General features: G+C 43.5%; 1 protein-coding gene across 9 annotated transcripts in view, besides 6 other annotated features; it reads left to right on the top strand.

The window, feature by feature from the left end:
* Window positions 4995-5054: an enhancer, noted in NCBI's record as "active region_3824". NCBI's record gives its function as "activates an Ori minimal core promoter by ATAC-STARR-seq in GM12878 lymphoblastoid cells {active_cell/tissue: GM12878}" and the evidence as "EXISTENCE:reporter gene assay evidence [ECO:0000049][PMID:35858748]".
* Window positions 5185-5234: an enhancer, noted in NCBI's record as "active region_3823". NCBI's record gives its function as "activates an Ori minimal core promoter by ATAC-STARR-seq in GM12878 lymphoblastoid cells {active_cell/tissue: GM12878}" and the evidence as "EXISTENCE:reporter gene assay evidence [ECO:0000049][PMID:35858748]".
* Window positions 5721-5820: an enhancer, noted in NCBI's record as "active region_3822". NCBI's record gives its function as "activates an Ori minimal core promoter by ATAC-STARR-seq in GM12878 lymphoblastoid cells {active_cell/tissue: GM12878}" and the evidence as "EXISTENCE:reporter gene assay evidence [ECO:0000049][PMID:35858748]".
* The window catches only part of BLNK (B cell linker), an 82399-nt gene continuing 66387 nt past the window's right edge, over window positions 6875-22886 (top strand). For all 9 annotated transcript variants that reach the window (NR_047680.2, NR_047682.2, NR_047683.2 and 6 more), the window contains exon 1: window positions 6875-7092. Coding sequence is in view for 5 of the 9 variants with exons in the window: in NM_001258442.2 (NP_001245371.1) it covers window positions 7046-7092 (47 nt within the window). In the remaining 4 variants the exon portion in view is untranslated. The remainder of the gene's footprint in view (window positions 7093-22886) is intronic.
* Window positions 7930-7979: an enhancer, noted in NCBI's record as "active region_3821". NCBI's record gives its function as "activates an Ori minimal core promoter by ATAC-STARR-seq in GM12878 lymphoblastoid cells {active_cell/tissue: GM12878}" and the evidence as "EXISTENCE:reporter gene assay evidence [ECO:0000049][PMID:35858748]".
* Window positions 8010-8129: an enhancer, noted in NCBI's record as "active region_3820". NCBI's record gives its function as "activates an Ori minimal core promoter by ATAC-STARR-seq in GM12878 lymphoblastoid cells {active_cell/tissue: GM12878}" and the evidence as "EXISTENCE:reporter gene assay evidence [ECO:0000049][PMID:35858748]".
* Window positions 10370-11569: an enhancer, noted in NCBI's record as "P300/CBP strongly-dependent group 1 enhancer chr10:98026632-98027831 (GRCh37/hg19 assembly coordinates)". NCBI's record gives its function as "activates an origin of replication core promoter dependent on BRD2, BRD4, P300/CBP, MED14 and CDK7 cofactors, with strong dependence on P300/CBP, by STARR-seq in HCT116 cells {active_cell/tissue: HCT116}" and the evidence as "EXISTENCE:reporter gene assay evidence [ECO:0000049][PMID:35650434]".

Genomic DNA, 22886 nt, shown 5'->3' with positions numbered 1-22886 from the left:
CCTTGTTTTTCTTTTTCAAGGGTTTCTTGGCTATTCTTGCTTGTTTATTTTTATAAAGAAGCATTAGAACCAAGTTGTCTAGATCTGGCTTGGGAGGAGGGAGAGGATCCTCTTGGTATTTTTATTGGGATCACATTAAATTTATACATTGAATTGGAGATAAGGGAAATCTTTATGATATCTTTATGATGGGATTGGGATCACAAATATATATTGAATTGGAGACAATGGAATATTTAAGAACATAAAATATTTGCTCAAGTCTGCTCTGCTTTTGTTTGGGGACCCTTTGAATCCAGATGGACTGCCTAAGTAGAAAGACTGGGAGACTAGTCAAGCTTCATCAGATAAAAGGTAACAGAAAATGACAATCAACAGCCACAGCATTTGCTACTGAGGACATAGGGCAGACAGAGTGTATTAGTCCATTTTTACACTGCTGAAAAGACATACCTGAGACTGGGAAGAAAAGGAGGTTTAATTTAACTTATAATTCCACATGGCTGGGGAGGTCTCATAATAATGGCAGAGGGTGAAAGGCACTTCTTACATGGCAGCAGCAAGAGAGAATGAGGAAGAAGCCAAAGTGGAAACCCCTGATAAACCCATCAAATCTAGTGAGACTTATTCCCTACCGCAAGAATAGCACGGGAAAGACTAGCTCCCATGATTCAGTTACTTTCCCCTGGGTCTCACCCACAACACATGGGAATTCTGAGAGATATAATTCAAGTTGAGATTTTGGTGGAGACACAAACAAACCATATCATAGACCCTCACCTCTTGGAGGCCATGAGTGTTATCTCAGCTTTCCACATCTCTGATACACCCATTCCTTGGACCGAAAACTGCCTCTCCACCCTTGCCTGCTCTTTGGCTCCATAATGGCCCTGACTGATGGAAATTACCTGGACTCCTGATTTCCTAAGGCCTTGTGTATCTGCTTCTTCACTTCTGGGTGGTGGTTCTGACTAGCGGCTGGGCCATGTGACTGATGAGGAGAAAAGAGTGTTTGATGACCCGTCTGGCTAAAGGGATGGTCACCTGCTGGGAATTAGTGAGGAATAAGATGGACCATCAAGGAGACTCAGTCACAGTGAGGCATGAATGACATTGGTACTTGGTTCTAGAAGAAAGGAAATTCCTCTGAGGTCCTTAAGAAAGGTCAGTAGCTGGAGGCATGGGGATGAGATTGGGGGTGGATCTCACTACTGAGAAGTAGCAAGAGGCTGATCAGTGAACCAAGTGGGGGCCTGGGCTATAGTGACAGCAGGGTAAATGTGGAAATATTTCCAAGGAGAATCTTGGCAGATTGGCTCTGAGGACAGAAGGCAAGGGAGGAGGTAAAGATGACACATAGGCCAGGAGTTGTCCATCCCAATATTAGGCTATTGTAATGTTCTTGCCAATAGAGGCTGGGCTGGATGCAATGAGTAAACGATGTTTTCATCTGAGTCATTCTCCTGATAAAACAGATGCCCACTCCATGCCAATCTGATGTATAGAATGTTGAGTTTACTGAACAGATAAAATAGGGAACCAATTTGTCTCACAGAAATAAAGCCTTGAGCCTAAAAGGGCCTTTGCCCATTTGCTCAAGTCTCAGATGTCTTTTCTTCTTCCTTCTTTCTTCCTTGTCTCCACAAAAAAGAACAGAAAAACCACTGCCAGCATCTGCCACGCTTCCTTGTCTGTCTTTGCCTTTCCCTAGTCTCTTCCGCTGTTTTCCTCCACTGGTTTACCCAGGCTCCTTAGCTTCCTCCCAGCCTTTTTCCCTCTGGCTCTTCACTGGCACTGGCTGAGAAAACCAGGCACGGGCCTGTCCATCCGCAAGCTCCTGCCACTTTGGCCCGCATGCGTGGGAAAGCTACTGGGTCTGTGATTGCTGCAGGATGCATCCCTGTCCCAACCCTGAGAAAGGGGGCCAGCACAAGAAAGGAAAGGAGGGTGAATGGTTTGGGGGCTAAAGGCCCTAGCTCTGATGTCAAGAAGATGGGTGGCCTTGAGTAAGTTTTGTCACCCTTCTGAGGATCAGACTTCACATCATAAAATGGGAATGACCATAGTACCCTTTGCCCCCATGGAGTTGTTGTGAAGCTGAGCCTCTTGGAAACAGGTTATAGTTCTGCATAGAACCAGACTGCATAGCACCAACATCACACCTTGCCAACTTCCTGTGGCAGTTTGCCTAAACTGGCCCTGGCAAGGGAAAAGCCATCAGTGTGTGGGTAGCAGAGAAGAGAGTGAACTGTGCCTGACTTTCCAGTCCCAGTGAGGACTTGGACTCCCTCCAAGGCACTGTAAACTGCCACAGCCACTGAGCACTTCTTTGGGAAGCAGTCTAGTAAAGAGAATTCAAGACTTCTCTTCTAAAAGCTCTGAGAATGTTTCCACTGGCACTAACCGGTTTCTGTGCACATTGGCAATGTCCAGATTCCAAGTCAGATGGAGCCCCAGCCCCTTTGAATCCCTTGCTCTAGAGGTAAGAAGTTGAGGTGAGGGAGACTAAAAGACTTGCCCAAGGTCATGGTTAAGTTGGTGCCTGATGCCAGAGCAGGCCTGTCTGCTGAATCACAGAAAATCTCTCTTGCAGTGGCAGAGTCTATGATTAGTAGCTTAGACTATGGAAACAGACTGGGGTTTGAGTCCCAGCTTTTCCATTGATGAGTGGTGTAACTTTAGACCGGTTTACTTAGCCTCTCTCAGAATCAATTTTTTCACATGTAAAATGAATGTCATCATAGTAAAGGAAACACAGAAAGCATTCAGTAAACATGGTGTTGTAGTTGTCATCCACAGATGCAAGGCAAAGAGCCCAAGAGAAACCAGGGCTGGTGGGGTCTCAACCCCAAGAAGCAGTACAATCCGTCTTCTTGTTCTCAAGTCTCATCATCTCACAGAGATGGTGGATCACCACCATCTGACTTAGGTTTAGGCATGCTATCTTGACTTTGCCCCATAATTCTAGACCAGATATTTTTTCTTTCTTTTTTTTTTTTTTTTTTTTTTGTTGTTATTACAACACAAGTTCAAAGATAGATCAGATCTTTTAAAATTTGTGTTAAATATATAATACCTACAATATGTATAAGATATAAAGAATAACAATAAAATGAACACTTATACCCACCATTCAACTTAAGAAATATACTACAATTGCTTGGAAGCCCTGCATGTCCCTTCGCTCCAATCCTGCTCCCTGGTGACTTATTCATTTTTCATTCCCTTGCTTGGTTTTACCATAGATGTACTTATCCTAAATAACATATTACTTAGTTTTACATGTCTTTAACCTTAATATAAAAGGGATCATACACTTCTTTAGCTTGCCTTTATTGCTCAAATTATTTTTGTTATTTATCCATACTGATGCAACTGGGGTTCACTCATTTTCACTGTTGAATAGTACTCCATTATGAAAATATGTCACAATTAATTTAGTTGTTCTCCAGTTGATGGACAACTGGGTTATTTCCAGGGCCATTTTTTTCCCCTATTAGAAATGGTGGCTGGGCTTGGTGGCTAGGTCGGACGTGGTGGCTCATGCCTATAATCCCAGCACTTTGGGAGGCTGAGGTGGGTGGATCACCTGAGGTCAGGAGTTCGAGACCAGCCTGACCAATATGGTGAAACCCCGTTTCTACTAAAAATACAAAACTTAGCCAGACATGGTGGCATGCAACTCTATTCCCAGCTACAGGGGGGCTGAGACAGGAGAATTGCTTGAACCTGGGAGGCGGAGGTTGCAGTGAGCCAAGATCGCACCATTGCACTCCAGCCTGAGCAACAGAGTGCGACTCCATCTTAAAAAAAAAAAAGAAGAAGAAGAAAAGAAAAGAAATGGTGCTTCAGTGAAAATTCTAGCACATGCTTTGATATACAGAGTTAGGAGTGCTCCGCAATATCTGTGATCCATGCTGGGTCATAGGTATGCATGCCATCAAATTTATTGGAAAATACCAAACTGTTTCCAAACCATTGCACCTTATACTTTTAGCAACAGTGTATAGGCACTCCAAATTTTCTTTAAGGTTGGGATTGTCAATTTCTCATCTGTGAATCTAGTGATTCATTAATTTCCATGTCCACTGTGCTATGTAGACCGACCTTAAAGGCTTATCATGGTATATCGTTCTGTGTGCGCTGTGGAACCACGTTGTGTGGTTTCATTCCTTTTATAAGTTACCAACTAAGGCTTGGTATCATCAGTTTCCATCTTTGCATTAACCTTTTTGGTAATCCAGTTATGGGGCCTGTCATTTGTATTTTGACTTTCATTTATGGTGCATTTGTCACATAAAAGTTTAAATTTATATGTATCTAGATTTACCACTGTTTTTCCTTTTTGTGTTTTGCTTAAAAAGGTTTTCCCCGGCCAGGTGTGGTGGCTCACATCTGTAATCCCAGCACTTTGGGAGGCCGAGGCGGGCGGATCACGAGGTCAGGAGATCGAGACCATCCTGGCTAACACGGTGAAACCTTGTCTCTACTAAAAAATACAAAAAATTAGCCAGGCATGGTGGCGGGTGCCTGTAGTCCCAGCTACTCAGGAAGCTGAGGCAGGAGAATGGTGTGAACTCAGGAGGCGGAGCTTGCAGTGAGTCAAGATCGTGCCACTGCACTCCAGCCTGGGTGACAGCAAGACTCCGTCTCAAAAAAAAAAAAAAAAAAAAAAAAAAAAAACAGGTTTTCCCCACTTCAAAATTAGAGTCAAATAATTTAAAATTTTCATTTAGTCATGGAGCAACTTAGAAGCCAAAGCAGTTGTGGCAGGCCTGGAACATTAGGCTGTCACACTGTATTTCACATGGGGTAAAATGTCCAGTCTGGAAACACAGTCTCTCATTTTCATCATGTTAGACTAAATACAGTAAAAAGAAGAAAGACCAGTGGCTGTAAAAAGAAAAAGCAGAAGTGTAACCTTTGCCTCTGGTCTTTTTCTCTGGGGAAATATGAAGTTGTCAGCCAGGTGTTGAGCAAAGTTGTTGGTGGAGAGAAAAGTCAAGTGACTTATGGGGTGCATTTTACAATAATTCAGAAAGAACGAGCTGACTATTATCATTTCATTCAGTGAAGCCTGAATTTCCTGATCTTTGATGACATTGTATGTGCCTTTACCATCCTAGTCTACTTGTTTCTTTCAGTTAGGAACTATGGGAGAGGAGGAGGCAGGGTCTAGAGCTCCTTCAGGATGCACTGCAAGAAAATTGAGCAGCCAGATTGGGGAAAATGAATGATGGCAGGAGACAAGCACTTGCATTTTTCTCATGCAACATTGTCTGCTCTCTTGCTGGCCTGGCCAAGTCAGTGTCCTGGCCAAGCAGAAGGGCCCCACCCTTCAACAGCTCTGAAGATTCTGCTCCTAAACATCTGGTCAAACCAGAAATTCATAGGCAGTGATGAATGTGAATAATCAAGGTTACCTGGAAAAAGACAGAACATCCATTTGTGCAAAGAAGAGGCACAGGAGGGAAGAAATCCATCCACGGTTTCCACCTCTACCACTGCCGCTGTTCCTTCTCCCCCTCCTCCTCTGTCTCCTCCTCCTCCGCTTCTTCTTCCTCCTCCTCCTCCGCTTCTTCCTCCTCCTCCTCCTCCTCTTCCTCCACCTCCTTCTCCTCTTCTGTCTTCTCCTCTTTCCCCACTGTCTTCAGCCAGATCTTGGGTCTGCAACAGGAGAGGTAACTGAGAGCTCTTTACTTTGTCCTGCTGTGTATTCTGACCCAGGAGAAGACTGGTTCCCTTGATAAATGTTGGAAACGTGTACTTTATTCCACAAGGGTGAGCAGGGCATTCTCAATGGCTGCAGAAAAGTGTGTCCAGGTACAAAAGGTCACTTCCCTCCCATTTTCTTCCTCCTTGACCCTGGACTGCGGGCTGCTCTTTAAACAACAGGTAAATCAGCATTTTTCAGATTAGGCAGAAGGAAATATAAAGTCTTCCAGGAGGGAAGTAGAGTTCTCTGAATAGGTTCAGCCCCTACAGGTATGGCTCCCTCCTCCCAGCCTCACCCCACCTGTCTGACCTTGAGATGGCCTCGTGTCTGGCGTGTCACTGGGTGTGATGAGCAAGTGGTGGACAGGACAGAAAGAGGCAAATGCAAGGAGGGGAATGGCATTCTGCTTTTAGGACTTCAGAATGGCCTGATGTAGGAATTGCATTGTTGTGAAACTGTTAGATTTGTTCTCATCTGACTTTTGGGTACATCCTGGTTTGTTTGAAAGCATCTGGCTATCGGCGAGGTAACTCCTGACTCTATCAGGCAATAAGGAGGCTGCACATCTGACGATAGAGTTCATCTCCCCTTTCCTGAGTCATCCATCCCTACCCCCAGATGAACAGAGAATTGCCCATCCCATTTTAAATAGAGCTCCAGAAAAAGAGATACTCTAATTCTCTGAGTAAACTGTTACCACCATGCCACTGACAACCTGATATTTATTTTTAAACGTATTGCCCGCATCGGGGGGTAGGAAAAAGCACAAAAATGCCATTTTTATATAATGGTTCTATAAGTAGAAAAAGCTTATCCATAACTTTATGCAAATAAGCAGAAAGTCTCCAAGAGAGGTTCAGATGGACTTGATTACTCTGCTTTTCCTTGAGCCCAGGAAGTTCCCAGTTATAGCATGCACCTGCTGGAAACAGACTATATGTGTTTGGGACAAACAGGAAGTAGTGACCAGCCAGAAACTTGTCCTAACCTGGTTACAAATCTGATTGTAAAAGAAAGCAGCTGGAAAGAAATTTGCCTGCCCAATAGGTTTCATTATTAAAGTTTACACAAAGTGGAGTAATCACCAAGCTGGCTGGCTATCCAGATCACATGATTATGTAGAAACATGAAACTTGACTATGTGCTCGGGCAAGTTTTACTTCTCCCTAGAGCAGGGGTGTTTGCCAGCAGCCTGCACTCTCAGAAATCAGACTTGAGTGGCCGGAACCCTTGAGACCAGAGGCTTACCATGCTGCTCCCTAGGAGGGCCAGGAACTGCTGACGTGACCACTGGACAGTTATTCGTGTCTCTTACAATTACCAAACAGAATGGACAAGCTTAATAAAATAACCGTCCCCGCCAGTCAGAAGTTGAGGTAAGATTTTCCCCACCCAATACCCTTCTTCATCTCCTTTTTTTCCCCCCAGTGCTCTTATGGCATCTCAGAAATACTGAAATCCTGGAATGCTTTGCTAGTTTCCAGTGGGTGGCACTTACTATAGGGAAGTGGACTGAGCTTTTAGGGAAAGCATTGGGTGGCACTTGCTATAGGGAAGTGAACTGAGTTCTTAAAGAAATGTGTAGGAACAAGAGAGACTTGCTTTAGCTGCCTCTTACAATAAAGTGTAAAGCTCTGGAAAGATAATAAAACAAATGCCAAGGGCTTAGATTCTACTGAAGGTCAACTTTTAGAATCTGAATGCAACCAACTTTTCTAAGGAAGGGTTTCTCTAAACTGAGTCCTCACCCATTTTATTGCAGGTTACTATTTAATTTTAAGGATAGCTGTAATCATTTGTTATTCATTGTTTTATTGTCTCATTTATTTTGTGGGTGTATATGACAAGTGTGTTTGGGGGGATTAGATCTGTCTTTCCAATGCCCTCATGTCAATGTAACAATATCCATAACAAGCCTCTCAAAAAGAATAAACCAGAAGCGGCCCCATGGGCGTGAGTCAAGGAGCTATGGAAAAGACAACTTCCCCAAATTTTGCTTTTGAAGGTCTTCTTTTTGTCTCATTGTAATGGCATCATGGCTTTCAGAGACTGGAACTTTTAAAGTTCTGGGAGTGCAGTTTTTTTTTCACATTTTTTAACAGTTTTTTTTTTTTATTATACTTTTAAGTTCTGGGGTACATGTGCAGAAGGTGCAGGTTTGTTACATAGGTATACACATCCCATGGTGGTTTGCTGCACCCATCGACCTGTCATCTACATTAGGTATTTCTCCTAATTCTCTCCCTCCCCTAGTCCCCCACCTTGACAGGCCCCGGTGTGTGATGTTCCCCTCTGTTCAGGGAGTGTTTTCTATTCTGACTACATATTAGAACTTAGCCAAATGTTCAGGGGGTGATGTGACACATGTAGCAGACAAGTAATCACAGATAACAATGAGCCAGAGAATTGAAGCTTTTGAGACAATATTTAAGAGAAAGTCTGGATTGGCAGAGGGACAACCCTTCACAGTAGAATACAGGTCTTATGCCTAGGAGGTGCTTGGTAAAAGGTAATGTGAAATGCATCAATGATCTGGGATCAGTAGGCAACATCAGCTGTGTTCAACCATTTCAAGAACATGCTGTTGAGTGCTGCTGTGTGATCAGCACTGACGGGACAAGAAGGCACCTCATTCTTGCCCTTGGTCTCAAATAGCTACACCCTCATGAGGGGCGGGGGTGATACAATGGAAGCTGTAAGCGACAGAAGGAATGTAAGAAGAGACTTAGAGTAGCAGGAGGAGGTTTCATAGAGAAGATACTTTTAAGAGGTAGGCTTTGAGAGGTGGGTAAAATTATAAAATACTGGAGAATTGGAGGAAACATGTTATGTGCTGGGAGGGAGGAAATACAGAGGCTGTCACTCAAAGCTTAACACAAGTACGGTCCATTTGTGGGATAGTGAGGAGAGTTTTCTGTCCAGCAGAAACTAAAGAGTAGGGAATGTGGGACCTGAAGGTCCTGGTATGATTGGACAAATAAGGTGGGTCCAGGTTGCAAAGGATGGTGAGTGCCCTGACCATAGGGAGTTGGAGAACAGGTTATGCTGTTAGCTGTTAGCAATGTCATGACAGTAGGCTTAAAGGAGCCTGGTAGGATGCGTTGGAGTGGGAGGGACACTGGAGGCAGGGATCTGGTGGGAGGGAGGAGCGCTTAAGTAACCCAAGCATCCAGGGTTGTAGGCCTGGACTTGGGACATGGCAGTGAGAAGGAAGAGGGAAAGAGAGGGCAGAAAGACATGGCAAAGAAACTAACTAGGCACCTTCCTCTGAATGAACAGGAGGATTCCAAATGTTTTTTTTTTTTTGTTTTCAGACATATTCCATAATGTAGAACTATACAGAAATGCATTCTCTTTCAGGGAATCCAGGTGGGAATTTAAGTAAAGGTGCTAGAACTTAAATCATTTTATGATTCCTCCCTTTGGGACAAAGTCCAGCTTGATCACAGAGTAGTTGATGGGCAATATACAACCATAGATTATGGGATAGAAAACCAAAATTATACCATGGATAATCATACACTACACTCATCTGCTTACATAAAAGTAACTTTTTTTCCACTTGATTACTCAGTTGTCTTTATAGAATCATCCTGTTGTGGTAAAATGTACTGTTGACGTGGAACTTTTCAAAGAAATGAAATTGTAAACTCAATGGGCTCGAAGCACCATCTTAACTCTTTTCCATAATTAGATAGATAGGATGGTGAGGAGTCAATAGATGAAATACTTGCCTCCTGTGATTTGTGTCCTCTGTCCTGACTGGTTGACATCAATTCTGAAGGTTGATTAACCATGTAATTATTTGGCACCAGATGACCATAAAAGTGGACAGTTATGTTTATACTCTTAGGCTTAGGTGAGAATTTGCTCAAATTCTTAGCCACAAAAATAGAAGGACAGTGAGTGTCCATCCAAAGGACTGAAAGGAATGACCTTGATCCAGGGAGTATATTCCCAGGACTGAAAAGAGAGTGGAGCAGAAGGAATTACTAGGAGGAGAGGGGAAGCAGAGTCATCCAAGGAAAGGAGGGCATGCAGGATTGGAAGGAGACAAGGAATTCTCAAAATGAAGAAGAAAGGGAATGTTCTGGATGAACCCAGTGGGGATGGGTCATCACCTTGAGAGTTTCTGCTGTATAAGAATAGAGATAGGTGAGATGGCTAAGTTGCTTGTGACCACAGAGAGGTGTGAGCACAGATTCTCATGTCTTTGCTCCCACCGAGGCCTGCTAAAGTAGGCTTCTCTGTCAGTAGGAGTCCATAGACACTTAGGGTCTTTTAGTTGATTCCTAGCCATGATTTTCCCTTAATTGTATAAGGTAAAGTTATGATCAGAAACCTGGCTAGAGCTGGGTTTCAATCGTTCCACAGTAAACATTCCTATGATCATAAAAATTTCACCTTTCTAGGGGAACATTTCAAAATTTACAATCCTGAATCACTTTGCAAATATCCCTTTTCAAATTAGTAAAACTAACTTGAAAATGAAATGTTTAGTTTTTAATAACCTCCCAATTGATTCATCATCTGTGCTTGTGTATTTTTCTTTGTAGCATAAACAAACACATACCTGCTCATTTTTACAACTAGAAAAGGTCTTTGACACAAGTGTGGTCAAATCGGGTCTCCCCAGTTATCTTATTGATTAAAGAGTATGGCATTTTTCCATTAGAAAAATCAAGATTTGTGTGATTTTAGGCAAGATTGCCTAATCTCCTTGGTTTCCTCACCTGTAAGATAAAGATAATAATAACAGTACCAATGTTGTAGGGCTATTGTAAGGTTTAAATAAATTTTTCTGTGAAGCAACTGGCACATAGTGATTATAGGACTTTCAAAATAGTAGCTATTAATATCATTACTGTTGTTATTCTAATTCTATAGTTGTGTAATTGATTTTCTGAAAATAAACAGGGACTTTCCATTGATCCCTGATAAGTTTCATGTTGGTTCCTTTTCTTCTTTCTGACTATTTTGACTATTTTGTCTATTGATTCTGACATCTGTGACACTTGGCTTTGCATGGACTGCAGATGTGACAAACATTCCTTCTCTGCGTTCATCTAAGTGACTAATAATGTTAAGCATGACAGAACCCTGCTGTGGGTGTCTGGGTCTTCCTGGTAGGGGTCTCACTGAGACCTTTTCTAATGGATTCTGAGACATGCCTTCTCTTCTCAGGGTTTGGAGTTTTCAACTGGAGTTTTTACTTCCTTGATTTTTCTGGTTCAGTTCTTCAGAAACAAATTCACCTTCTTTTCACCTTTCCACAACTAGCTGTCTCTCAGATCCTCCCTGTTTTGGTCGATGGTATCCTCGTCAGCCCTCACACTGACTCACCTTTCCCTCTTCACCTCAGCTGACACCCACTCACCTACCACACCCTGCAGGTTTTCTTTATGGCTCTTCTCTTCCATATATGGCTTTTCTTTCCTTTTCTTCCACAACATCCCGGATAGGTTATTAGCTCCCCCATGTCCCCTATGTTTGTTTGGTTCAAACTACAAAATGAGAACATTTCCCAAAGTCCCTCTCAGCTCTGATGCTGTGATCCTTTAAGCACAGAGACCACATTTGACATATGTTACATTCTCAAAGGCTACCATTTTATCTCAGGACTCTCAGGAAATATTTCTTGATATATTTAGAAGGACCATGCCATTGGGGCCCAACAGGGCTGATTCTAATGGCCAGTTACTAGCTGAAGCCATTCAGTTTCTCTACACCTCAGTTTTCCCAGCTGCCAAACGAAGCTAGAGATGCCTTCCTCACAGGCTTGTGTGAAGACCAAGTGAGACAACATGGACTGAAGTTCCCAGAAGAGTATTTGCCACTTAGTCAGTATACCAAGTCAATAAAAAGCAAACACAACCACCAGTACCTCAAACCACCCAAGCTGAGTGGCATTTGCTGTCTCTCTTGCTCTTCATATTTGTGGTTCCAACTCCTTTTAACTGGGGTGGCAAACTTCAGGGGAGCTGCAGGCAGGAGGCACAGCATCTAGTGGTGGAGATTAGATCCACTTCCTGGACCGTCTGGTTTCCCATCCCCTCACACTGCCTACCTGCATCCCACTGGATGAGAAGCCACTTAACTGGACCATCTTGCGGCACACCAATGGATGGACTACCCAGAGCAGCTGAGAAGGGTTCTTTCTCCCTGTGGGCAAGTCACATGGGAGCCACGTTATCAGAAACTGGCTTAGTGCGAGTGGACTTCAGAGTCATCAGCCAAGAAAACTCAAGGCAACTTCCTCACCCACTCTGGGCATGGCTGTGCTAGGAAAACCCTAAACCAGAGTCCACATGTCCGAGGAACCTCTCTTCTGGACCCAGTGATTGTGTACCATGGCTGAACAACACCTTCCTCTTCACACAACATGTTTCCAAATGGACTATGATACAATTGATTAGGTTTCCAAGGACCAAATCACAGTTATTTTCCAGCCCTGCCTCCTAGATTACTGGATTGAAAAGAACTGGGCTGGTGCCAAACTCTTCAGGCATGTATTTACAGACGATCTCTTGTTTTCTCCCTACAGGTGATTTAACCCCATCTGTTCTTGGGAGAATTTATCAGCTTGGTTCATTTTCAAAGAAGGTCTTACATGAGCAAGAAAAAAAGGGAGAGAAAAATTAAAGGATAGCTTGTTCTAGGGAAATTAAAACACTTCGCTTTCTTTGGCTTCTTAATAGATTCCACAGAAACATCCTTCCCCAGCCTCCCGCAAGACATAGCTGGATCATTTCAATCAATGGTTCTCCATCAGGGGCAATTTTGTCCCCAAGGGAACATTTGGTTGTCACAACTGGGGAGTGTTACAGACACTAGTAGTTAGTCCCCAAGGATGCTGCTAAACATCCTACATTGTACAGGGCAGTCTCCACAACAAAGAATCATCTGGCCCAAAATGTCCCTATTGCCACTGTTGAGAAACCCTGATTCAGACTAAGTGACATGTTCTCTTCAGAACAATAAGCAAATATTCATTTCTATTTGCTTATAGTGACAACGTGTATTTAAAGTTCAGAATAGGCAATACATATCTTTGCCATTGTTGTGGTCTTTGCTCAGATCACACTGGGTTTCCGGTCTGGGATGGTTTGGATGAGGGATTGCCTAGAGGAGGGGCAATAAATCCTTAGGCCTGCATTTCAATTTGATGTTCCTTTTTAAAAGTTGTGTCAAACAAAACTAGATCCCATGAACTATATGCACCATTGAGCTATAAGTTGCTCTCTCCTGGGTAGAAAAGTGAGAGCAGGAAAAGATTTCCAGACATAAGGTCATCTTGTAATAAATAGTCTGTTTCTACTTCTTCAAGTAGACTGAGCAAATCTTGAGTGGAAATTCTTAATGTTGAGGTAAAAAGCATATTATGTCATAACACAGCCATTAAGAAGTTCAAGGGCTTGTGAGTCTGATCCAATGGCCAAATTCTGGCTGGGTGTAGAGAGTCATTCCTGCAATCCCAGCACTTTGGGAGGCTGAGGCAGGAGGATTGTTTGGAGCCAGAAGTTCAAGACCAGCCGGGTCAACATAATGAGACACCCATCTCTACAAAAATAAATAAATAAATAAATAAATAAATAAATAAATAAATAAGTCTGGTGTGGTGGCATGCGTCTGCAGTCCCAGCTACTTAGGAGGCTGAAATGGGAGGATCGCCCAGGAGGTTGAGGCTGCAACGAGCCAAGATCATGCCACTGCACTCCAGCCTGGTGAAAGAATGAGACCATGTCTCAAAAATAATAATAATAATAAGGCCAAATTCTGGACAGAGGTGCACACACTGTGCTTATCCTAGAGCAGAATATGTTGCCTAAGGACATTGGATAAAAGACAAAGCAGCTGGTGGAGGAGAGATGAAATGCGTTTGCTTGTCCATCCTTTAATCTTCTTGGTTATATATGAAAATTCTGTGGCAGTGTCCAAGAGGCATGTATTTGGAATAATCCTTCCATGAGCTGGGAGAGTTTCTGGAGCAGGATTCACCCTGTCTTGTCTGGTCTCCCTGTGGCCAGTGTGTATATATTTTTTTGAAACCGATGGGTAGGCTTTAAGGGTTCAATCTTTTTCATTAAAGACTTTTTTCCAGCTCTATTAAGCATTTCTATGTCTCCCCGCCCCCCTCCAAAATAACTCTTTAAATTGGTTTCGATTGAATCTGGATCTCAGGAAACGCTTTGTGTGATTGTTCTGCATATTAGGAATGATGAGAGGAGGTCTATGTGAAGGACCCAGGGTCCTGTGCTCAGAAGAGCGCTGTCTCTTGTAATGTCAGATGCTCAAGGCTCTTGGGTAATCCTGCCCCCAGGCTTGCAGGGCTGTGGTGCTCTTGCCCACTGTAGACAGAGCCTCACTAAGGAGGCCTTTTAAGTCCACCTAACCAAGACTCCGTCTCTGCAGATTGGAGGTCAGAGAGGTACCGCTACTGCCTCCCATTGGACACCCTGTGTCTCTGGATTGGTGATTACATTCCATCAGGTCCCCCTTAAATCTCACAGACTTGGGGCCATTCTGCTTCTTGAGGGTGACCTTGCTTCTCTGTGTTTGCTCTGTCAGATGTTGAGGTTTAAGCGCTCAAAGGCAGCCTTAGTTTTTTCATTCCACGTTTATGCTGGGTTTCCTAGGCCCCTAGGAACCATGCACATTATTAGGAATTTAGAGTATGTTTCACCTGTTGCTCCAGAAATGGGCCTCACCTGCTGATGGGGTGGAATTCCAGCCCCTACCCAAGTCCCTGCTCCAGATCAAGGGAGCAGAGAACCCTGAAGTGTGATGCTGGCTGCCGTCCTCTAGGTCCCACATGACCTCGGGGTTCCCCAGCACAGCTGTAGGGAAGCAGCTTTTGTGTTGGGCTGACACTGGACACTGGGGTTGGCTGCTGCGGTGGAAACCCTCTCTCAGGAGGTTGCTCCTCTTCACTGTGTGTTAAGCCTCCTCATTACTGGCGTATTTGTCTCCATCCAGCAATGAGCAAGAAAGTCTGACTTCACCTCCTTCCTCCCTGTGCTTTGTTCCAAAAAGAAAAGAGCCCTCCCCACAAGCCCCTCCTCCTCCTTATTTCACCACCTTTTCCTACCTGTCCTGCCTTCACCTCCCTTCTGAAAGGGAGTCCACCAGAAGCTACACCTGAAGCCTTATTTTTTAACCTAATGTTTTCACAACCCTTTTGCAGCACTGTGGTCTAGGCCTCCAAACAGACCATTTCCCTCAGCCCAGCATGGCTATTTCAATGCTTATTTCAAAAGCAAGACAAAGAAGCCAGCTTGAGGGACATGTGGTGACTGTTTGCTGAGCCACACTTCTCTGTTGGCCAGTTTCCTAAGGAAGGCTCTCATTACCCCAGGAGCATCCCTGCCTCCCATGCTGGCTGGGGGCCCCAGACCTACTCCAGATTCCCTTCCTTCACACATTGTAGGGAACACGCAGCACAGGTCCCTAGCTTCCTGGGCGTGTGGCCATACAGTCGCACAGGGTCCTGTGCTCGGAGCTTGTGCCTGGTTTAATGCTCTGCTGTTGCAGTCCTGAAATTCTTAACAATTTCGACCAAGGGGCCCTGCATTTTCATTTTACATTGGGCCCCAGAAATTATGCAGCCAGTGCTGGTCGGGGGTTCCATGAGGACTCGGGCCTTGCCTGCTTCTACAATGTGCAGAGACACAGGCTTCCATGGAGAAGCACAGAGATTCGCCTTGCGAGGACTGAAAGGACACCTCTCCAGCCCCTTTATTCCACAGGTGAGAAAGGTGAGGCCCAGAGAGGCCAGGTCACCTGTTCAAGCTCTAGACGACCCCTCCATGTCTGCCTGTGTAATTTACTGGCCAATGTAACATTCAGGCTTTGTTCTTCACTTTTCATAGACGTTTGTTTTAAAATTAAAAAAGCAGTCACTTACTAGTCAGAAAGCCTTCTGAGGATTCCTGCTGTCAGTATTTCAGACAATTGTGTGTTCCAGGCCCAAACTTGAATTCCACACTGACTCAGGTGTGTCTGGTATCCTACTGCTATATATTTTGCAAAGAATGCTCCCACAATCGTTCATGTAATCTGAGAGTGAGTTATAATTATGAAGAGCAGAGCTGGTCTTATATACAGACCAAGCACACAGCACCAACGTGGTATTTTAAGAGGTGCCCTTGGAAGGTGTTTTTGTCTTACTGAAAAGAAAGAATCAGGCAGATGTGGATTTGAACATTTGCTCTGCACTTACCAGCTTGTGGTCTTTGAGAAGATCACTTAATCCCTTTTAGCCTCAGGTTTTTCATCTGAAAAATGGGAATAATAATATCTCAATAATATATAACATAAAGCAGGGGTATTAGAACAGTACCTCTGTATACCGGAGAGTAAGAGCTCAATGAATGCCCCCTTCCTCCTGGTCTGTGCTTCCCTGGTGCCCTGGATTGTGTTGTTAGAGAGGCATCTACTTGGGATATGGCAGTGTCTCAATGTTCTGGTTCAAAATTAAACATCATTAAGTGTAATAGGTTCAGGCACTGAGTCATCTGTCACTAGCACCCACGCAGGACTCATTTATCTGATAACCAACTCAGACCAAGGGGGCAGAGAGCTCTCCTACCCACTCACAGAGGTGGTTCAATCAACAGCCTAGCTGGATAAATGGATCATTGTTCAGGAACATGGTGATAAGGAGGGAAAGGCCAGAGGTGGGAGACCACACCTAAGTAAACGGGAGTTCCCCAGAGGGAGGCTATGACCAAGGGTGCTTGGAGTAGAAGACAAGAAAGTCTGAGCTCGTACCTAGAGTGAAATGACCCCCAGCCCCATTCCATTTTTTACCCCTTCATTTTACAATCTTACTTGGTTCAAAGTATAAAAACTTCATTATGAAAAATAATTTTTTAAGCATAAAAAGTGTATTAATGTCCCTACTCAATATTGAACATACTAGGAAGAGTATTTCATTGCACTGCAAATAACTATGAGAATCACATACAAACATGAGAACTATAATTTCAAAAAAGAAAATGGCAAATGTAATATAAAATCATTGAAAAAAATGAACTCTGTACATATATATGATTGTTTTGGCTTTTAGATGATCTTTACAGCCTGTTCAAGGTCAGAGTTCTCTTTTTTACCATGGCAGGACTTCAGATTTCACATCATCTTCATACTCGAAGATCATCACAGTTGCCAAACCGATCTTAGATGATTGGGCTTAATATACCCGATGCTACCTATTAGGGTAAATTCTATTAACAACCTCTTAGCATGATGAAAACAAAAGCTATTCATGAAAATACCTCAAAAGTAAATTATTTTGAAAATCTGCTTTAAAATTGCCAATGACTGCTTCATGGGTCTGGGGTTTTATTTAGGGGTGATGAAAATATTCTGGAACTAGGCAGTGGTGGTGATTGCACAATATTGTGAATTTACTAAATGCCACTGAGTTGTACAATTTGAAATGGGTGAAATGGTGAATTTTACATTATGTATGTTTTACCACAATTTAAAAATTGATAATTAAACAATTTCCTATATTTACCATAAATGAGTGTATTTTGGGGACCCACGATTATATATTTTTTTGACCCACTAGATATTGTTGGCCAGGCACAGTAGCTCATACCTGTAATCCCAGTACTTTGGGAGGCCGACGTGGACAAAGCCCTTGAGCTCAGGAGTTTGAGACCAGTCTGGGCAACATGGCGAAACCCTGTCTCTACAAAAAATACAAAAAATTAGCTGGGCATGATGGCACATGCCTGTAGTTCCAGCTACTCAGGAGGCTGAGGTGGGAGGATCACTTGAGCCAGGGAGGTTGAGGCTTTAGTGAGCCGAGATAACGCCACTATACCCCAGCCTGGGTGACAGAGTGAGACCCTGTCTCAAAAAAAAAAAAAGATATTGCTTCAAAATTTTTATTTAAATGTATTATTGACAAACATTTGTAGATGCTTTTAATGAATTACAATGCTTCCTTTCACCCCTACCCCTACATACAAGACATTCCCAATATCTTTGTTTTCTCAGAGCTAAGAAGAATTTAACTGGGTCAAACTTTTTCAATATATGAGTTCTTGAATGCCATCCCTCAAAATCACTCTTTACTTCCTGAAAATATCTTTGCTTTTACCTGCAGAAATGGATGCCAGGACAAGTAGATGACAATACTATATATATATCATGCCATGTAGATATAGCCAAAGTTCCTTTTTCCCCCATTAAGTTAATTTTTAAAAGAACATATTCAAATTCTTAAGACACTTTTATTTTCTGGAATTATGTAGAATTGCATTTTCAGAAACATGACTAGAACTACTTCTCAGTCGCTTGGTTTTACAAACCTATTGGCAGCTGGTTCGATTTAAGAGACGTCAGTTTTGCATTTTTATGCTGGTAGAGGACAGACAGTGAACACATGCACGGTGCAGCTGTCAGCACCTCATCAGAACAATGAGCACATCAGAGTCAGACACAGTGAAGGGACTAAATGACATGACCTCTTAGTGTTCTTCCAAACCCAAGAGTCTGTGTCATCTATGAACACAGGAGTCTCCCTTAACTTTTTTGGTTTTTGCAATCTGCTTTTATGTAGTTTTGTGAGGAAGTTTTCCTTTATTCAAGACCTCTGCCAGGTGGGTGGTGAGAGCAGAGTCCAGCAAGCATTCCAATGTGCTAAAGGAAAGAGAAGTGTTGTATTCCTGGAGGCCCCAAGGACCACTGGCCCCTAAAGTCAGAGAGGGGAAGGGCCATGCCAATTTCAGCTGTCAAATCAAGTGACAAAACTTCTAAGAACTTCTTAAGGCAGGTATAGCATCATTTCCTTGCCATCTCATCAGTCTCAGGGTGGTGTGCCTGATGCATAACTGCCTCTGATAGGGTAAGTCCTACCAGGGTTTTTGAAGGACACAGGGTATTAGTAGAATCATCCCTACTCCTGCTTGTGCCAAGTCAGCCCAATTTCTGACTGCTTATAACCAAGCTCAGCCGTTCAGACATGCCAAAGACTACCACAAAATATTTGCAGATCTCAGTAGGAAAAAAAAGAAACAAGCAAAAAAAAAAAAAAAAAAAAAAAGGTAGGGTGTGAACTGTTTGGAGAAACTTATAAATTACTTTATACGGTTAATAAGTGGATAGTAAGAAACAGCCCTGGCAGCAAGATGCTTGTGTGTAAGGGAACACAGCCCCTCCACTCCAGGACCCTCAGGGGGCCTTTCTGCCTCGGGTGTTGAGAAAGGATGCATGGATTATGGTGGCGTCCTTCCAGCTGCTCTGTTCAGCCACCCTACTTCTGAGCATATTCCAGACCCCAGAGGGCCGCTACCGCATTCCCTCCTGCCTCCCATGTGCCTTACCCCCTCTCCTTCCCATTTCCCCTGCCATCTGTCCTTTCCTCTTTTTACTCTCCCTCTTCCTCCCAAAGTCTGAAACAGGCCCTTAAGAGCTGACGCTCCCCTCTAGCAAAATGTCTAACCTTGGGGACCAATAGCAAGGCAGGGGTGGGGGCACATGTGTCACAGTAAAGATTACTGGGTTGGTAGAGGGAATGGGTGCTGTCTCCAGGGACAGAGAGGAAGGTATCCAAAGAGGCAACGTAGGTGCTGAAGCCAGTCGCCTGCCCTGGTGAGGGGCCAAGTTGAAACAAGTTAGCCTGTATCATCCAGAGTGGGTTGAGAGCATAGGCTCCGGAATCAGACCTGATTTTGAATTCCAGCTCTATCACTTATTTGCTGTAGGATCTGGGCAAATTATTTAACCTCTCTGAGTCAAATTTTCTCATCTATAAAAACAGGGATAACTACAACTATGTGAATATATTAATGCTATTGAACTGGATACTTAAAAATGGTTAAGATGGTAAATTTTTTGTTATGTGTTTTTTATCATAATATAAACATGGGGATAATAGGACCTCCCTCACAGGGTAGTTGTGAGGGTTAATGAGATAATGCACACAAAGTACCTAGCACGTAGTACATGCTCAATAAATGCTGGCTTTTACCGTTATTGATTTTCCAAGTCTGATCACTGGCATGCATGATGCTTCTCTCAGCAATGGCTTACTGGGCTTGTACTATAATCACAGCTCTGAACTATGGCATAAGAAGGTGGGGGTTACCTCTGGCCATGGAGGTACCCCCCACCTTCTCTAGCAGGGGGCTCAAGCCTTATGTGGAAGGGGAAGGAACAGGTATGACTAAAAGAGTTGGAGGAGTCCTCAACTAAATTAATCTCAGGGCAATCACAAAATTTCCCTGGAATTTAATTTCCTCCCTTGGCATAAGAGGAGGTTGACCCAGGATATTCCCAAAGTCTCTCTCACTTCCAAATTTCTGTGACTACCTTAATTGTAGGCAAAATTCGGAGTCAGCTGTATAGTCTGAGACACTCATGATCTCTGATCTCTTTGGGCTTCAGTATCTGCATCTGTGAAATGGAGGAGAAGGCCACTAACTCGACCTTGAGGGGCTTGTTCACATTATCACACCATGGAAGGGACTGCCAAAGCTGTCAAAACTCTGCCAGCTCCACCATGAGCTCACTCCCCAGAAGGAAGCAGCCTGCAGTGCTGAATTCGCAAATCTAAATATAATTCCTGTTATTTCATAGCAAGGCCAGGCTGGAGGAAGTGAGCATTAGGAAGCCGGTGCCAGAAATGACAAGGCTTTAGAAAGAGTGGAGGGGGAGAAGTTGTCATAGGAGTCCTGCAGCATGCAAGTAACAGGATAGTCACTAAAAAGTATCATGCTGCTTCAAAACGATGGGTTGGTGGCTGAAAACTTCAGCTTTAAGACAGGAGTGACCTGAGAGGAGGATGTTTTGTGTGAATCAGAGAATTCTCCGGTCTGCCTATATCTGTCCCCTGGCTTCACATAGGCCAGAAGGTTTCTGTCATGTGATAAGGTGGTGAAAGGAGCCCCTTTCCTGCATTACAAGAGGGTCGGGTTTGTGTTCAGGTTAGCTCTGTGGCCTGCATGTGCCATGCCCAGTGTGCACACACTGAATATTTGTGGAATAAAACAAAACGAGTCATGTATAAAACAGCAAAGCATGACATTAAATTTTAAGGGGTAACCCTCATTAATAAATTGATACAAATAGTATTTAATATAATATTTTAAAAATCAAAATGAATGCCCAGAAATCCATGATGAAGAAACTACTGGAATTTTAGATGAAGACAGAATCAGTCCTGCTGATTTACTTTGTCTCAGGCCCCAGTATGGCCAACATGGCACTTTGTCTCAGTAATGTCCTCTTTGAGAGTTGTTGGTCCTTTCGCACAGCTGAGGCCCACAGGGCACTCCTAGTGTTATTCCATTGCCTTTGGTACCACGCTGTCACGAGCTCGAGGCTTGGGCCTGGCACAGTTGCCTCCATACTGGTGTCCCAGCCACCACTGTCCCAGGCCGAGATCCTCCTCCATTCTTCCACCCTCATCATGACACACCCCGAGGAAAGGTCTCCAAGGGCTTCCAGCAGGAAGCCTGTAACCCCCCATCTCCTTGGCCTAACAGGTCCCTTGACTATCTGTCTCTGCTCCCAGCGGTCTCATCCTTGTCTTGTAAACATCCTCTCAACACCTACTTTCCTGACACTCTCAGCTGCTCACTGGACCCGAAACATCTCAGACAGTTTCACCTCTGAGCCTTTGCACTTGCTGTTCCTGATACCTGGCTGCTGTTCCTGATACCTGGCTGCTGTTCCTCACCCTTTTGATGTGACTAGAGATGTGAGATGAAGAGTCAAAGAGAGAGAGAAAGGGTTAAAGAACATTCAGAAGTTTCAAGCCTGAAGATCCAAGGATGCCAGCTTATAAATTCCATTTGCTTCTTCTTCTGCTGCTTTTTTTTTTTTTTTTTTTGAGATGGAGTCTCACTCTGTCGCCCAGGCTGGAGTGCAGTGGTGCAATCTTGTCTCACTGCAACCTCTGCCTCCCGGGTTCAAGTGATTCTCAGGCCTCAGCCTCCCAAGTAGCTGGGATTACAGGCACACGCCACCACTGCCAGCCGATTTTTCTATTTTTAGTAGAGCAAAGGTTTCACCATGTTGGCCAGGCTGGTCTTGAACTCCTGACCTCAAGTGATCCACCCTCCTTGGCTTCCCAAAGTGCTGGGATTACAGGCATGAGCCACCATACCCGGCCCTTTTTCTTTTTCTTATTGTCAGTTTTCAATTTTCTATCATATAGCTGTTTTAAAATTTAGTAACAAAAATAAAATATACTATATTAGTAGCATCTTAAAAAGAAACCCAGAGTCAATTACATTAAACACCTAAAAAAGGAGGAAGTCAACTAGAGAATCAGCAGACCTAATGATGAACATTAATTTTTTTATTTTTAAATTAAATGCATTTAAATGTATTTAAATTTTAAGTTTAAAAAAGTGTTTTTAAAAATCCATTCATAGTAAAAAGTATTCATGGATGCATTTTTGTTTCTATATATGCCAAGGAAAACATTACAGAGATTTCTACTCCAAATTGATTTTAGAAACATATAAATTGGAGATACCAGGTCAATTGCACCAGCACAGATGTTCTAAGGATACCCAAGTATACGTGGATAAAGCAAAGGGCTGAGCCAGCAGCCCCCAGGGGTTCTTGCAGTACTTGAACTCCTGACCTCAAGTGATCCACCCTCCTCAGCCTCCCAAAGTGCTGGGATTACAGGCATGAACCACCACGCCTGGCCCTTTTCCTTTTTCTTATTGGCAGTGTTCAATTTTCTATCATCGAGCTGTTTTAAAATTTAGTAACAAAAATAAAATTTCTATATGGGCATGGAGCTCAGGGTGAGACTGAGTGACTGAGCCATGACAAAAAGCTCAGGCTTGATTCAGTAGATACCGGGGAGCTGCTGCACTCTTGAGGAAGGAGTGATCGTTGAAATCCAGGTTTTAGAAACATTTGCTGAAAGAGGCCCTAACAAGCCCTCACAGCATGGATGGGAGGGCCCTGCTGCCAGCTGCTGCATTTTCCTGTTGTAAAGGGGAAAGTGTAGGCTTAGATCTTGGCTCAGAGAGGAGGACCAGCCTATGAACACTGAAAGGATGAAACTCAAGAACTGGACCTGAGGTTAAGATGCGGGGGATGAAGAAGGAAGGATTTATTTATTCTGTTTGTTTACAAAGAGTCACTTTCACCTGAGACACTCTTTAATCCATTCCTACATGCAGATTAAACA

This window comes from Homo sapiens, chromosome 10, assembly GCF_000001405.40.
Source record: "Homo sapiens chromosome 10, GRCh38.p14 Primary Assembly".
NCBI lineage: Eukaryota > Metazoa > Chordata > Mammalia > Primates > Hominidae > Homo > Homo sapiens.
This window is presented reverse-complemented; position numbering and strand designations above follow the sequence as displayed.